This window comes from Homo sapiens, chromosome 5, assembly GCF_000001405.40.
Source record: "Homo sapiens chromosome 5, GRCh38.p14 Primary Assembly".
Classification (NCBI taxonomy): domain Eukaryota; kingdom Metazoa; phylum Chordata; class Mammalia; order Primates; family Hominidae; genus Homo; species Homo sapiens.
This window is the reverse complement of record NC_000005.10, coordinates 36,229,667-36,244,647: the sequence shown is the minus strand read 5'-3', so window position 1 is coordinate 36,244,647 and position 14,981 is coordinate 36,229,667. Positions and strand designations below refer to the sequence as shown.

Sequence of the window (14,981 nt, the reverse complement as noted above, 5' to 3'; positions counted from 1 at the left end):
ATAACTCTATCACTGCATAGACTTTAGGCTCCTCAAGGGCATGGAAGCTTTTTATCATTTCATCTGTAGCACCTAGCAGGATGCCTGGCCTACAGTGACACTCAAATTTAATTTAATCTCCACGAATGTGTGTTACATGTGTAAGATTTAAGAGACATTATCTAAAAGGAAACTAGATAAGGATTGGAAATTCAAGAGAAAGATCTGGGCTAAAGATGCCAGTAATAGCTGAGGTCATGAAAGGGGCTAATATTTGCCAAGTGTCTACTGTGTAATGGGCACAGTGCTAAGCATCTGTGCATATATTCACAATTTTACAAGGTAGCAATTATATTTTATAAATGCAGAAGTAGTCTCAGGAAGGTTAAACAACCAGTTCAAGTTTCACAAAGCTAATAAACAATAAAACTGAGATTTGAACCAAGATCCTTCCATTACACAACACTGAATGAACTCAGGAGCGTGTGTGTGTGACAGAGAGAGAGAGAGAGAAGGAAAAAAGACGGAGAAGAAGAGACAAGGAGACGAGGACAGAAGACATCTTGGAGATGGGTTTAGGAAGAAGTCAAAAAGGGACATAGAGATGGGAGAAACACTGTTAGGGACTGGTATGTTGGGAGACAGTAAAAGATTTCAAGAAGAAATGATAACCATTTCAAATTCTTTGGAAAGATCAATCAATTAAAGAACTGAAAAAAGTCTTTTGAGTTCCAACAAGATCTTTTGGTCACCTTGGAAACAGCAGTAATTAGCAAAGTAGTGGGGAGAAGCTAGTGTACAACAGGTTGAGGAATGACTAGGAGGCAGGGATGTGGCAATGATGAACAGACTACTCTTTCGAGAATCAGCTGTAAAGGTAAGGCAGGCAATATGTAAAAACAAAGGCTTAGAGGTTGTTTTGTTTTTTTAGAAAAATTTTAAAGATGTCATAGACATGAGCATATTTAAATACTGAAGAGGCAAACTCATTTGGGAGGGAAAATTCAAGATACCTGTGAGAGGATGCCTTCAGAAACACTATTTTTGAGGAGGTGGAAGATGAGACGCAAAATAACTATGGACAAAGGGCTATTCCAACTGAGATGTCAATGTATATGTTTGCAGCTGAAATGAGAGTCAAAAATCTGGGTTTTTATCTGTGAAATGGGAAGAAATGAGGTCCGAGATTTCAAATATGAGCAACAAAACTCAGACTTTGATCCCAAACAGTTTCTCCCTACGCATTTTTTTTTCTCTATCGAATGGATCAATTAACATTCCCCTGTTCACCCTGGCCTCAAACCTAAGCGTCATCTGTGATTTCTCCCTTTTTTTTTTCCTTCCTAATGCTAATGAAGTTTAAAATAGTAAGACTACAAAGGAGTCTGAGGATAGTTATAGATGTTACCTCTAGAAGCTCAGGTTATTAAGGTTGTTACACTACACGTCACTATTAGCAGCTGCTGTGAGGGAAAGTTCTTGGTGAGAACGGGTCAGTGGTAGAACTTTACCAAGTAAACACCTATCGGGCTTCATTGTGTATGCTCCCAGTCCAATACACTACCTGGCACACAGCAGGCACACCGCGGGAACCCACGAATGAACGCTGGTGCTGGTGGGCCCGTGAGGAGAGTCATAGATTCACTGAATCGATTTGGACTTGGTAGAACCTTGGGGTCACCCTAACCCCCTTTTTACAGATGAGGAATCTGAGGCCCAGAAAGATGAGGTAACCTGCCCAAAGTCCAGAAGCGACGTAGCGCCAGGACTACAAAGGAGCAAACACAGTGCCAGGGGAAGGGGATCTAAGGAGCTGCGGAATTGAACAGCAGGATGTGCACTGCCATGTGGTTCTCCCCTTACAATGGGACGTTTCCTTCTGTTCTCGTCACACCCCAGCCCAGGTCCTGATCACTCCACGGGTCATTATCCCAACAGCATCCCTTCCTCCTCTTCTTGCCTCCCAAGCTACCCAAGATTCCAAAGCCAGATCAATAGTCATCAAACATTGCTTTAACTCACTCCTTTCCAGTTAAAAGCTTTCAAAGAACTAATTCATTTGGACTTTGTCCTATAGGTAGGGCTCTTCGGGGGGGCAGGGGGCAGCGGGGCGGGCACTGGGTCCCACGCCGAGAGGATTTCGTGCCAAGCCACGCACACGGTGCAGCAGGAGCCGGGTCCGCCTCCTCAGCCCCCAGCCCGGCCCCAGACACACCAGCTATCACACCGACCCTGGTCAAATAAACCAATGGGCACGTGGTCGGCCTGCAGAACAGAACCCAAGCGAGCATATGCCAGGAACCTGCCTTCCCGCCAGCCGCTCAAAACCCCACCCGCTGGCCCCGCGCCGCCTCAGACCGGATCCAGCTGGATTCCTCAGGGCGACGCAATCGCCTAACAGAATTCTACCTCTTTCTCAGGCCGCAGCCAATGGCGCGGCCCCTCGGATCCGGAGCCGCCGCGGGCTCTGATTGGCCGATAGAGTTAGCCTGGGGGCGGGAGAAGAGCGACCTCGGGGAAGCGTGTGGTGCGGGGAGGTCGCCCCCGGGCGGCGAAGCAGCCATTATGCAGGCGTGAGTGAAACGAATAAACAAACAAACAAAACCCACTAGCTGGGGCCTCCATTTCTTCCCCGCCCACCTTTCTCCCGCGTGGGGTCTCCCGTTTCCCAATCGCCACGCTTTCCCCGCCTTCGTCAACGCCTGGGTACGTCCCCCTAGCCGCGTGGGCCACGCACGTCCTGGCACTTAACCTCTGCCCGTCCGGCGCGAAGTTAGAGGCCCGGGCGGCGCGGACGGCGCGCACTCCCGGCGGTAGGGAGCTGAGGCAAGGGGCCCGAGCCCAAGCCCGCGGCCGCGGCCCGGCCCACGATGACTTGCTACCGAGGCTTCTTGCTGGGCAGCTGTTGTCGCGTGGCGGGCGGCCGGGCGGCGGCGCTGCGGGGACCGGGTGCGGGAGGCCCCGCCGCGCGGCCCCGGCTGGGCGGTGACGGTGGCGGCCGGCGGCACCTGGGGCAGGGGCAGCCGCGCGAGCTGGCGGGCTGTGGCAGCCGCGCGGACGGCGGCTTCCGCCCCTCCCGGGTGGTGGTGGTGGCCAAAACCACCCGGTACGAGTTCGAGCAGCAGCGGTACCGTTACGCGGAGCTCTCGGAGGAGGACCTGAAGCAGCTGGTGGGTCCTGGCTCGGCCCCGCTTCGCTCCCGGGCTCGGCCGGGGCTCTGGTGGCGGCTGCGCCCCCTCGGGGGGACCTCTCGGGACGACTCTTCCCAGGGCACCGCAGATGCCGGTCCTGCCTCTCTCGCGGCCCCCAGGTCCTCTGGCTTCTCCCTGGGCCTCCTTTGCCTTTGGGCGTGTGTGCGAGGGAGAGGCAGGGCCGGGGAGAGGGGGAGAGAGAGGGACAGTGGTTCATGCAGGGACTTAGGAGGCAGGGGCGCCGCGGGGAGGGCGAAGAGGGGCTGCCGAGTGGCCTCAGAGTGAGGGGTTTGAGGATTCGTTGGTGCCCTCGCCGCCCCCGCCCTCGTTCCCTGGTTGGGACCCACTCCAAGAAAGTGAGCCAGTGGCCTGAGGTCTGGACGCCCTGCGAACAGCTCCCCTGGCCGCCGCGAGAAAGGGGGCCCAGGGCGCCGCTGAGGGCTGCCGGGGGAAAAGGGCCGAAACAACCGCGGACACACCCCCTTTTACTCTGCAGGACTGCGAGGCCTAGGGCACTCCGGAAAGTCCTTCAGCGTGAGCCTTTTCCTTGCTGGAACGTGGTCGTTGGACACTACGAGCTTGTTTTAAAAGCACAGGTCTTTGGTGCTAAGAAGGAAAAGGGAGAAAATTTGACTTGTATATGTACGTTATTAAGGAGAAATGTCAGGACAAGGGGCTGGTATACTGGGTAGTGTGTGAAATAAAAAAGCCTGCGACTCTTGTGCAGCAGTATCTCCACAATATACCATATTTGATATGTTTATTAATATATCTGCAAAGATACAAATCCAAGGGAAAAACCAGAGTTTGAATCTTCCTGTTGTCATCCCCCCCCACCAACTTTAAAAACAGTTTCTGATCCCATACCACCATCCACCAACTTTAGGAAAAGGAGAGTGCCCGGTGCTACCATGAGCAGTATGTCCAGAAAAATATATTGGAAATCTCTTAATTGTTGGCACTGTGCACCAAAAGGTTTTGGAATTAATTGCACATAACTGATTTAGTTTAATTCTGTGCAAGACTAGACAACCTGTTGGAAACTTCTGGTATCGTGTGATCTTAGCGAAGTTATTTTGTAGAGGCATCAAAATGAAATTGTAAATCATCTTTGCTTAAGTGCTGAATCTGTTGTCAACATTAAACATCCTGCTTCTTTGTTGGGTTTACTGAAGAGGGCTCCTGCATTCACCTGATGGGAGTCTAGATGTGTAGATTTGTTTTCTTTTTCCTAAGTGTTTGAAAATGACTGTTTATAGAATACACTTGCATCATTTAAAGAATAAAGGGTTTGAACAGGAGGTTAGAGTAGTTGAGTTTGTATTAGGGAGTGAAACTAGAGGTGAGATAGGGACTAGTAATGTTCTAAGAAAGCACAGTGTTACTATTTGGGGAAAGTGGTGTGCCCTTTGGGTTGTACTAATTTTGCAAAGTCTAGCTTGTAGGATTTGTCAAATGCCATGTATGCATAAATATGTGCATACAGTTTTATCGAAGCTTCCCACAACAATTTAAAATAGCTCACTTGGCATGTTCAGAGTGTGGGATTAAGAGTGAAGAGCTCAGTTCTAGGCCCTGGTTCTGTGTGGTTAACTTCCTATGTGTGTTCTTCTCTGGGCCTCATAGGTGGAAATGATACTTTTTGTATAGTAGTGTCAGTTTTCAAAGTGCTTCACCTAATTCAGTATGTGAATTGCAGAGGTAGTACCAGATAGCCTCCAAGGCCCTTTACAGTACTGGCATTTTGAAACTGTGGATAACGTTTTCAAGGCCTCAAGAAAATGGGTGGCATCTCAGTTAGGATTAACTCTTGGACCTCTGAACTAGATTACCACTTAATAAAAAAACTTTTAAAATGTAGGGAAAATCAATAAGTCTTAAAAAGTCAAACTACCTAAGTGTACCCGTTCTGAGTGGAGAAATCTCTAATAGGTAAATATTTGTCTATTGCTAGGTAATGCTGTTTGGGATAAGCCAGCTTTGAAGTAAAACTCGTGGGCTGTAGAATACACAGTTTTGTAATTGCCAGGCAGTGGAATAGTTTTTGTTGGTGGTGTTGTCATTACAGTTTTATTGGATAAGTTCCTTACTGATTTGAATTTGTGTTATAGTTTATATAAAGGCCCATACTCAGAATGCAATAGCATTAGTTGTAGACCAGATGAGAGATTATTAACAGGCCAAAGAATACTGGGCTGTGTGAAGCTGTCCTAAAATGGGATTCTGTAATAGGAGTGATAAGATGATAAGTATTATTTGTTATATTGCTGGGGTAGAAAATACTAAGTTATGTGAATCATGTGAATTGGATGGATATAAAAGAAAGTGGCCAAGTGCTTGAGTCTCACCATGGCTGCTGTGTCTATAGTGTCATGGTAACTTGGTTTTTTGTCAAAGCATTCTCTTTTGTTGTCGTGGTGGTGGTTTTTTGATGTAAAACAGGTCTGTTTTAGGCTATTTGTTAAAATGCAAATGGAAGATGAAGGATAGAGTGCCAGTATAATTTTATACCCTGAAGGCTGATGATTTTCTAACTTTGTAGAAATGTAAACAATTACAGGAAATATTTTTTAGTTGATAAGGCATGCACAGAATAGGTTTACAACCTTCAAGCTAGTCAAAGTTTTGACTTTTATTTACCGTTTCATATTGGTTACATTGCTTTATTTTAAAATCTTGTCTTTTTCCCCATTGATTGACCAGTGACTTATTTTGTGATATCAGATTTCTGGTCAAACATTTTACCTCTACTGTCTCATGACCTTTCAAAGGCCAGTAAAACTATTATTACAATTTACTTGCATCATTAAGAGATGTAGCTGTTGGCAAATGTGCAATTGCTATTAACAGGGTCCTTGACACAAATTAGAACTCTAGATGAAACAAAACTGACTTGGAAAGGATTTTGACACCAGAAACATACCTCATTGGTCAAAAAAAGGTTTTATTTAAAGCTCTTTTTCACCTGTCACCAGGGATGGGGAACTGAATAAGGAAAAAAAATTTTAATGTAGAACAAATAAGAAGTCAGCAGTTTCTGCCCTCCTCTCCATCATTCCAGGTCTCACAACTCGGCAACCCTTTTACTGGTTCCTATTTTTAGTTTTGTTTTTTAAAATTCATAATGGGATAGAATAATTTCATTTAACAGTCTGCCGTGTTATTGGATTAAACTAGATGACTTGGAAGGTGTAGCACCTTGGATTTCCCTTTTGTTTTCTGAAGATTTTGTGGCTTAGGTTGTAGCACTTGGGCAGATAATACTTTTGCCACAGGGTATGCAATAAGCGTACCATGGTATACTTTTGTCAGGTGGTATACTTTTGCTACATTGTATGCAATAAGTATATTACATACAATATGATTGTTAATCAAATTAAAGAGCATGATTTGGAGTACTGCCAGAGCTTTCTAACTGAATCCTTGCTCCTCTCAAATCTTCTAGACACAGTTACCAGAGTGTCTATCTAAAGTGAACATCTGGCCCTTTCTCTCTTTTGCTTGGAACTCCACAGAAGCTCCCTGTACCCTTTAGTCACCAAGAGTACTTGTTAAAATGCAGACACCTGAACCTTAGCCCCGCAAGACTCTGACTCAGTTTGTGGAGAATTCCCAGACTTTGGTTTTATGAAGCACACACCTGAAATTAATGACTCCGGCTGAATTCCAGGGATGTGTTTTATCCCTGGTTGGCATGTGGTCCCCAGTTAAACTGAGAAACACAGTTGTGGGCTCAAGTTCATGATCTTTAGAATGGCAGATAAGTCCCTTCATGAACTGGCTATCTCTTGAGCTTCACTTCTGATCACTTCTTGTCTTAAATTTCATATTCTAGCAATTTCAAACTGTGTTAATTTCCATTAGATGTTGTACTGATTTAGTTTAATTTATGGATCAGTAGCACATAAAATGATTCAAAATATAAAAGATACAAAATATTATACAAAGAAGTCTTTCTGTTACTTGTCATTTGTCATTCAGTTTTGTCCCTGGAAGTAACTGTTATCAATTTCTTGTGTTTTCTTCCAGAAGCAACCTATACCTACAAATCAGCACAGTGAAATATTCTTTTTCTTTGCCTCATCTCTTTTTATTCAATGATAATATACTATTTAAGCTATTATGTGCCTTTTTTTTTAGCCTAACAGCATTTGTGGAGATTGTCATAAAGAACATTCCCATTCTTTTTAAAAATAGTATGTATGTTACTTTATTTTGTGTCCTAATTTATCTTCTGCTATTAAACACATTCTGAAATGAATAACATTTGTGTTTATATGCATGTAAATCAAGCTCTAAGACAAATACCTAAAGTTGAAATTGTTGAGTCAAAAGCCTTGTGCATATAAAGTTTTAACAGATTTGGCCAAATTGCTTCCCTTAGAGATTATACAGATTTTTACTTTCACCAGCCCTGTATAAGGGGACTTATTTTTCCATACATAGTTCATTAAATTGTTGGGTCTTTGCCAACCTGGTGGGTGAAAGATGGTATTTCAGGGTGGTTGAATTTGCATCTCTCAGTGTCTATGTGTCTACTTTTGTAGCCTCCTTTGATTTGAATGCTCTTCTTCCTCTATCCAATTCCTGTTTTTTTTTTTTTTTTTTTTGAGGTTAAGCTCAGACATTACTCTCTCAGGATGCCATCCTTGGTAACCTTGCTGTGCCTCTGCCTTTCTCTGGCTACCAAGATTGTGTTAGGCATTCTTCACTTCATAATACTTATCTGTGATTATTTTCTTTTCTAAACTGTAAACTCTTTGAGGGCAAGAATTGCATCTCCTTTATCGTCCTCTCCACCCCCATACTTCCACTAAAAAAAGTAGTAAAATGTTTCTGATGTTCTGTTAAGATCATTTTTAGGTCTTTTCTCCTTGAGCCTGGGGACCAGCTTCCTTCTAGTCCAGGGCCTTATTACCAGCTGTCTGTCTTTCCAGATGTTAGCTGCTGAAAGCTTAAGTCAGAGTTTAAGCCTTAAGCTTTGGATTCTTTGATAGAGGTTTCGGGTTAAATGTCTTTGAAAAACATGAGCCCAAGCAAAAGATGATTTTTATTTGACTATGGGATTCTTTTTGGTGGGAGGGAGCAGAAAATGTTTTAAATTCTGTGGAACACAACTTGGAAAACAGAGGTTTAAGGTATACTCCCTTTCTATAAATACTTGCAGTTAAATAGGAAACTCACAAAGATGTAGAAGAATTAAATATCACAGTAGCTGAAGTGTCACCATTAGAGAATCATTGACCAACATGCTTCACAGCCCTGATGTTCAGCCTTCACTGTATATAAGCATTATCTAGGGGGAGGTTTTAAAAACTACAAATATGTGACCAGCCATGAGATTGCAAATAACAAAATTTTTCACTGTTATCATTTTACTATATTTTTAATTATATAAATTAACTTCTAATAGTTGTGTTTGATGCACATTAATCTCTTCTCAACTAGTAAAGTGTAAATTGACTTTATTTGTCACTATCAGTGAACTTTGTAATGTACAACGGAAATATATAATTTCAAAATATCAGCAAGTGTGCCAGTTATTTCACGCTTTAGGAAAATTTATTTTTTATATATATATATATATATATTTTCTTCATAATAAACCACTAGATATGGATTATGCAGGAAAATAGACCAATCTTTGTAAAACATTTGCATTGAAGGAGGGTTCATCCAATTGGCTCTCCTCTTCCTAAATGAAAGGTGGTAGAATTAGGTCCTGATAAAGAACAGAATAGTTGTTGAGTTATGTAACTTAGTCATCACAATTGAGGCTTAGTGGCCTAATGAGTATTCACAGTTCTCAAGCAGGAGTAAGATATATGGCTAATGTAGGAATGTTAGTAGTATGTGGCTGCATGGATATAACAGAGTAGACAAATCCTGCTTTAACAGCAGAAGATCAGAGTTTTGATCCTGAAAGCACAATCTGATGTCTTTGTAATCTTGAGCAAGTAACCTAACCTCTCTGAATCAGTCTCTTTGGCTTTGAAATATTTATAGTAATACCTGCTTTTCCTTTCTCACATAATTTTTAGAAAGGTGAAATAATTTACAATTTACATAATTTAACTTAAAGCTGCATAATCTAATTCCAGTTTAGCCACAATAATGATCATTATGTAAATGTTACATATATTTAAATTATGTACCTGAAATAGCATTGATTTGGTTAACTCCAAAGTAGATTCCTTTACTAAGATAGATCACTTAAGTGAACTAAAAATATGTTGATTTTTAACTCTGCTTGCGTAGTGTTTTTTTAACCAAAATTTTAAAGAAGTTATCATTTCAAAGTAATAGAGAAAATAATTACAAAAATTATGATCTGCATTAAAAGTACTTGCTACAGTGTCACTATTGGCAATATCCAGGAAGTCTGTTAGTTAATTTGTTTAAAGTGTCACTTTTAAATATTTGTTCACAAAACCGTTTTTTGAGCCCCTGCTAACTGCTAGGCATCCTGCTGGATCCTGGAGAATCAAAGATTAGTAAACAGTTTCCAAATACATGGGAAACATCTATTACATTATATTATAAATATTTATAAGTGATCCATGGGAGTACAGGGAAGGGAGAGAACAATTTGGGAAGGGTAGGGATGAAGGGGAGAAAAGACTCCCCCACTCCCAACTTTTGAGTAGATTTTCAGTGATCTTTTTAAAGTTTAGATTTTCAGTTATGAGATATTTCAAACATATAGAAATGTTTCAGAAAGTAACAAGACACCTGTGTATTCAGCTACCTAGACTTAACAGCTATTAATATTCTGCCATATGTGCTTCAGAATTTTAAAAATGGAAATATTACAACTAAAGCCTTATGCATCCAACTTTTCCCACTCCCTACCTCACCAGAGGTAACCACTGCCTTGACGTTAAGTGTATTGTTCTCATACATATGCTTTTACATTTATTAATATGACAGTATCCATAAACAAGTGTAACATCATGTGTGTCTTTTAAAAGTTAGTCAATGATAATTCTGTTCTTTAGAATATGTGCCTATTCTTTAGAAATTTGCTTCTCTTATTTACTATTGGTTTCAAAACTTATCTGTGTAGATACGTGTTAATTCATTTTTTTTTTTTTTTTTTTTTTTTGAGACGGAGTTTCGCTCTGTCGCCCAGGCTGGAGTGCAGTGGCGCGATCTCGACTCACTGCAAGCTCCGCCTCCCGGGTTCACGCCATTCTCCTGCCTCAGCCTCCCGTGTAGCTGGGACTACAGGCGCGCGCCACCATGCCCGGCTAATTTTTGTATTTTTAGTAGAGACGGGGTTTCACCGTGTTAGCCAGGATGGTCTCGATCTCCTGACCTCGTGATCCGCCCGTCTCGGCCTCCCAAAGTGCTGGGATTACAGGCGTGAGCCACCGCGCCTGGCCCATTAATACATTTTAACTGCTGTGCAATATTTCATTGTTTGGATAATTAGGTTAGTCACAGTTTTTCCATTATTAAAAAAATATTGTAATTAGAAGTACAAATAATTTTTTCCATAAGCATTTAGTGGGTTCCTGAACAGCACTTAGTAGACTTTAACATTTTTGCTAATATGAAGGTGAAATGGTATCTTTTAATTTCAGGATGTTTGAATTAAATATTGAAAAATACAGAAGAATTTTTATGTGTGAAGGAGAGAACAGCAAGACTTGCGTGAAGTTCATCTTGTAGCCAACCAAAAGAACTCAAAACTGACTGTGATCCATAATCAGAGATCTCTTACATTGTGACTCAGTACATAAATTTGAAATAAAAGATAACAGGGAAGAATTTAGCCTTGTATGTTTTATAAAAACATCTTTAAATAAAAGATAACAGGGAAGAATTAAAAATATATTTTAAATAAAAGATAACAGGGAAGAATTTAGCCTAGTATGTTTTATTTTCTAGTTAATGATAATGCTGGCTGTGATCGTTAAATTGTGACCAGCTTATAATGCACTTTAAGACAATTTGAAAATCATAGTATATTGAGGCCAAACAGGTAGAGTGGACCTTATAAAGGTGGTAAGTCTCTTGCCAAGGAGTTAGCTTTATCTCCTAGTGGTTTTCAGACTCTTTATGGTAGAACACAACCCTTGCTCAGCCTGTCTTTCTCCATAGGAATTGGGTGATGAGGGTCAATTTTTCTGAGATTTCAGCATTTTGGACGTTGTATGAAAACTGGCTTTTGTTTTCATACGACGCCCAAAATGTGGTGGTGTTAAGGTTAGTTAGGGGATGGGAATTAGTCAAAGACTTTTGAATAAGGAACTAGTTTAGAAAATCTGGAGGCAAGCTTTTGCATTAGACCAGATAAGAGTTGGTGTTGTCCAGAACTCAAGCAGTGGCAGCATGAACTTAAAGTACATAGATTGTCAAAACACTTCACAGATGTAATTATTTGACTTCACTACTGACTGGCTGTGGACATTGAGTGTGAGGAAGAATTAAAGGTGACACGGATTTATTAAGTTGCTCATGTAAATGATGCTATTGTTAACTGATAAATTGGACTCAGAAGAGCAGATTTGAGGGGGAGTATATAATCAAGTTTTGATATTTTTGGAGAGAGGTACCTGAACTATTTGTGGATGGATGTAAAGGTAGCATTTGAAAATTCAAGGCTGTAGATCAAGAGACGTGGACTAACAGTATAGATTTCAAGGTTACTGGGATATACTTGGTAGGTGAGTTTCCTGGAGTGGGGCGATAACTCAGAGAAAATGAAGTGAGAGCAGATAAGAAAACCAAAGTTGGAACCTCAAGCAATATCAAGGGAGGAGGTCAACAGAATTAACAGAGGAATGCAGAAATAGAGAACGTTGGGGAAAATAAAGGTGAGAGCCTGGGAGAAAGTAAGTGGAATAGAGATGATCTAAGATAAATACCAAATATATGTGAAGAAGTCTTTAGGGTTCAGTGCACTAGGTCTGATCATGTTAGGTGAATGGTTGAGTATCTAGGTGTTGATTAGGTGCTGTTAACCTTTTTAAGGCAATTTTGAGTAACACTTAGAGTACCATTTAGTTAAATGTGTATGCTTTTAAGGGTGCCTAAATTATGCCTAGTGGATTGACATACTGAACTGTCATTGTCTCAAAAGTTTGTGCATTTATTATGTGTTAAATTTAAAAAAACTTAACTCCTTCCCTTATTAAGCTATCATAGAAATTACATAGAGTACAAAATAGCAATACTCAACTGACTGGTAAAACAAGTCTTAAAAATTTGTAATTGCAATAAATTTAGTTTTAGATAAGTAAAACCATCTGTGATAATTTAATAAAGGTGTTATAAACCATTTAGGTAATAGCATAACTATCACATCTGGATCTTAAAGTGTGCTAAATCTATCCATTCAAAATCTTGCTTTTTTCCTTACATGTTGTGCTTTATTTTAATATCAGAGCTGTGTGGGGAGACATGATCTTGGCTTTCGGAGATTCTGTAGGAGAAACTCTTGCTTATATTGAAATGTGTCTGTCTGTCTGTAGATCTCATGGAGTCACCTGCTTTTTCCAAGTGTCCTGGTGAATCTTTATTTATTTATTTATTTATTTTAATGGAGAGAAGAATTAACAGGTTTTTGGGGAAAATATTAAAGACTGTTACTAATAATGTTGTGTAACATTGCAGAGAATTGGGAATGTGTTCTAAATTTCAGTAATTTCTCTAACCTTTTAATGGTAAGACATTGTCTAAGAAATCATGTGTTCTTATTTTTGTCTGATTAAAGGAGTGTTTTAAGATATTTGAAGTCATGTTATTTTCAAAGGTTTAGCAAGAAATTCTTACCAGCTTTTGCATATGCCTTTTAAACAAATATAATTATTGGACTTCAGTACTCACTGGCTGTGGCGATTGAATGTAAGGGAAGAATTAAAGCCAGTTGAATAGTGATTTAAGCCTTTCTAATTGATGCTGTTTATTAAGTGATTTTCTTATTTTTTATCTGTCTCATTTAGCCAGTTCATGTTAATAAAGCTTAATAGCCCAACCAGCGAGGCCTTTAAAGAAAATAAGAACTTACATTCTCTAAATGAATGTTGAGGATGACTTATTAGAAAGTTAGTTCACAAGAAGAAATTTGAGTGGGAATAAGAATTTATGAACTGACATTTCTGCTTCAATGTTAAGTATTCTGATGCTGCCTGAACTTTGTATTTAGATTTGGAATTTTAGGAATTTTATTATTGTTAGCAATCATAGAAAACTTGAAGTTTTTTGTTAGTTCTCCAAAACTTTTTCTCCCACAAATTCAGACCCTTTCGCCATCTCAAGCCAAAGTTCCCTAACAGTCAACGCCATGTATCTTATTTTCCTGGGGCTTGCCGAGAGCCAGGAAGTAAGCATAAAAGTTTCTGAACTACCAGACTAGCATTTACAGGGCTTACACAGTAAGGTTTATGTGCTTTTTTCCTGGGTACATGTTCCATATTGTCCAAACCAAAATTTGGAACATAAGGTAAAAATCCTGGATAGGGAATTGAAGTATGAGGGCCAGCTACCCTTGAAGTTTTATTTAAAGTAGAAGTGGTAAATTAGATATAACTGTTGTAATAGGCTTATTGTGCATTTGAATTAGTTATCATTGTCTTTGGCAGTTTGCAGTGCCTTGTTTAATACATTTGATTAAGTTCAACTAGTAGTTAAATGAACACAGTAGTAGGCAGTCAAATATTTAGATGAATTTTTTTTAGAGCTTAACTTCTAGCTGTGTAAAGTGTTCACGCCTAAAGTGGAATTGTAAGAGATAATTATAACAAAATAATATACTATAGTAACTAATCTAACTCTCCTCAGTTCTAAGGGTTGGTTTGCACACTGTTGTCACTTTCTGGGTTATCTTCTGTAGCATCTGCTTCTGCACTATTCTTGCTTTTCTGGAAAATGTATGCATGAGTTCATTCAACAAATACTTAGCTAGTACTTAGGCCCTGAGGAACAATGGCAAACAAGATAAGTAAGATCACTGTTCTCCCAGCACTTATATTCTAGTAAGGAGATTCAAAGGGATTTTTTAAAAATACCAGGAAATTTTAGGTGTGGTAAATGCAAAAAAGGGAATTAACAGGTGTTGGGATGGAGTAATTGGCAGTGGTGGCTGTTGCAGCTGCAAGGGCAGCACTAGCAGCAGCTGTTTCAGCAGTCCTGGCACCCCAGGGTTAAAAAGAGTCAGAGTTAGGTGGAGGGATGGAAAGCATTCCAGCAAGTACAAAGGAAGAGCTTGGTGAAAATAGACCAAAGAGATTAGAGTGTTGGGAATGGGGAGGAAAAATGAGGTAGGAGAAAGGAGCAGAAGTCAGGTGGCATAAGCCTGAGAGTTGGTAGGAAGAAAGTGCCATTTGTAGAAGGGCATTAAGCTGAGGAAGAGACATGCTGTGGTCTCTCTGGTTTCTGTGTTCGGAATAATCTATAGGGTGCCAAGAGTGGAAGTAGGGAACCCCTGTCAGAGGCTTGTGCAGTGGTTCACGTGTGAGATCATGAGTGGTAGAGGGGAAGAAGAGAAAAGTGCTTGGATCAAATATAAGATTTAGTAATTGGATGTGGAAATAAGCAAAAAAGGAGGCATCGGCTGTGACTCTAGACTGTTGGCTTAAGCCATAGGTGGGGAATTCTTGGGCCAGAAAATCAAGGGCTAGATATTGAACATGCTAGATACTGAATGAATAATAATAGCATTTCAAGTATTCAGTATCTAGCATGTTCAATATCTAGCCCTCTAAATTTGAGGTGCCTGTTAGATAGCCAAAGAAAGATGTCAAATAAGCAGTTGAATAAATGTATTTGAGGCTCTAAAGATAGGCCGGGTTGGGAGATAGCAGT

The 14,981-nt window shown here is 40.5% G+C and overlaps 1 protein-coding gene and 1 long non-coding RNA gene across 9 annotated transcripts in view, besides 3 other annotated features; one reads left to right on the top strand and one right to left on the bottom strand.

Moving 5' to 3' along the window:
• Positions 1-2,746, bottom strand: part of LOC124900962 (uncharacterized) — a 109,210-nt gene extending 106,464 nt beyond the window's left edge. The window contains exon 1 of the long non-coding RNA XR_007058733.1: positions 2,620-2,746. This is a non-coding gene — a long non-coding RNA (uncharacterized LOC124900962). The remainder of the gene's footprint in view (positions 1-2,619) is intronic.
• Positions 2,199-2,398: an enhancer, noted in NCBI's record as "active region_22478". NCBI's record gives its function as "activates an Ori minimal core promoter by ATAC-STARR-seq in GM12878 lymphoblastoid cells {active_cell/tissue: GM12878}" and the evidence as "EXISTENCE:reporter gene assay evidence [ECO:0000049][PMID:35858748]".
• Positions 2,369-14,981, top strand: part of NADK2 (NAD kinase 2, mitochondrial) — a 49,691-nt gene continuing 37,078 nt past the window's right edge. For 2 of the 8 annotated variants that reach the window (NM_153013.5, NM_001287341.2), the window contains exon 1: positions 2,369-2,552. Coding sequence is in view for 2 of the 8 variants with exons in the window: in NM_001085411.3 (NP_001078880.1) it covers positions 2,850-3,149 (300 nt within the window). In the remaining 6 variants the exon portion in view is untranslated. Of the gene's footprint in view, positions 2,553-2,628; positions 2,686-2,722; positions 3,150-3,256; positions 3,290-3,792; positions 3,813-14,981 lie in introns of those variants that run through there. The other 6 variants (XM_047416706.1, XM_024454360.2, NM_001085411.3 and 3 more) reach the window with 4 other exon arrangements.
• Positions 2,639-3,658: a silencer, noted in NCBI's record as "silent region_15972". NCBI's record gives its function as "represses an Ori minimal core promoter by ATAC-STARR-seq in GM12878 lymphoblastoid cells {active_cell/tissue: GM12878}" and the evidence as "EXISTENCE:reporter gene assay evidence [ECO:0000049][PMID:35858748]".
• Positions 3,749-3,818: an enhancer, noted in NCBI's record as "active region_22477". NCBI's record gives its function as "activates an Ori minimal core promoter by ATAC-STARR-seq in GM12878 lymphoblastoid cells {active_cell/tissue: GM12878}" and the evidence as "EXISTENCE:reporter gene assay evidence [ECO:0000049][PMID:35858748]".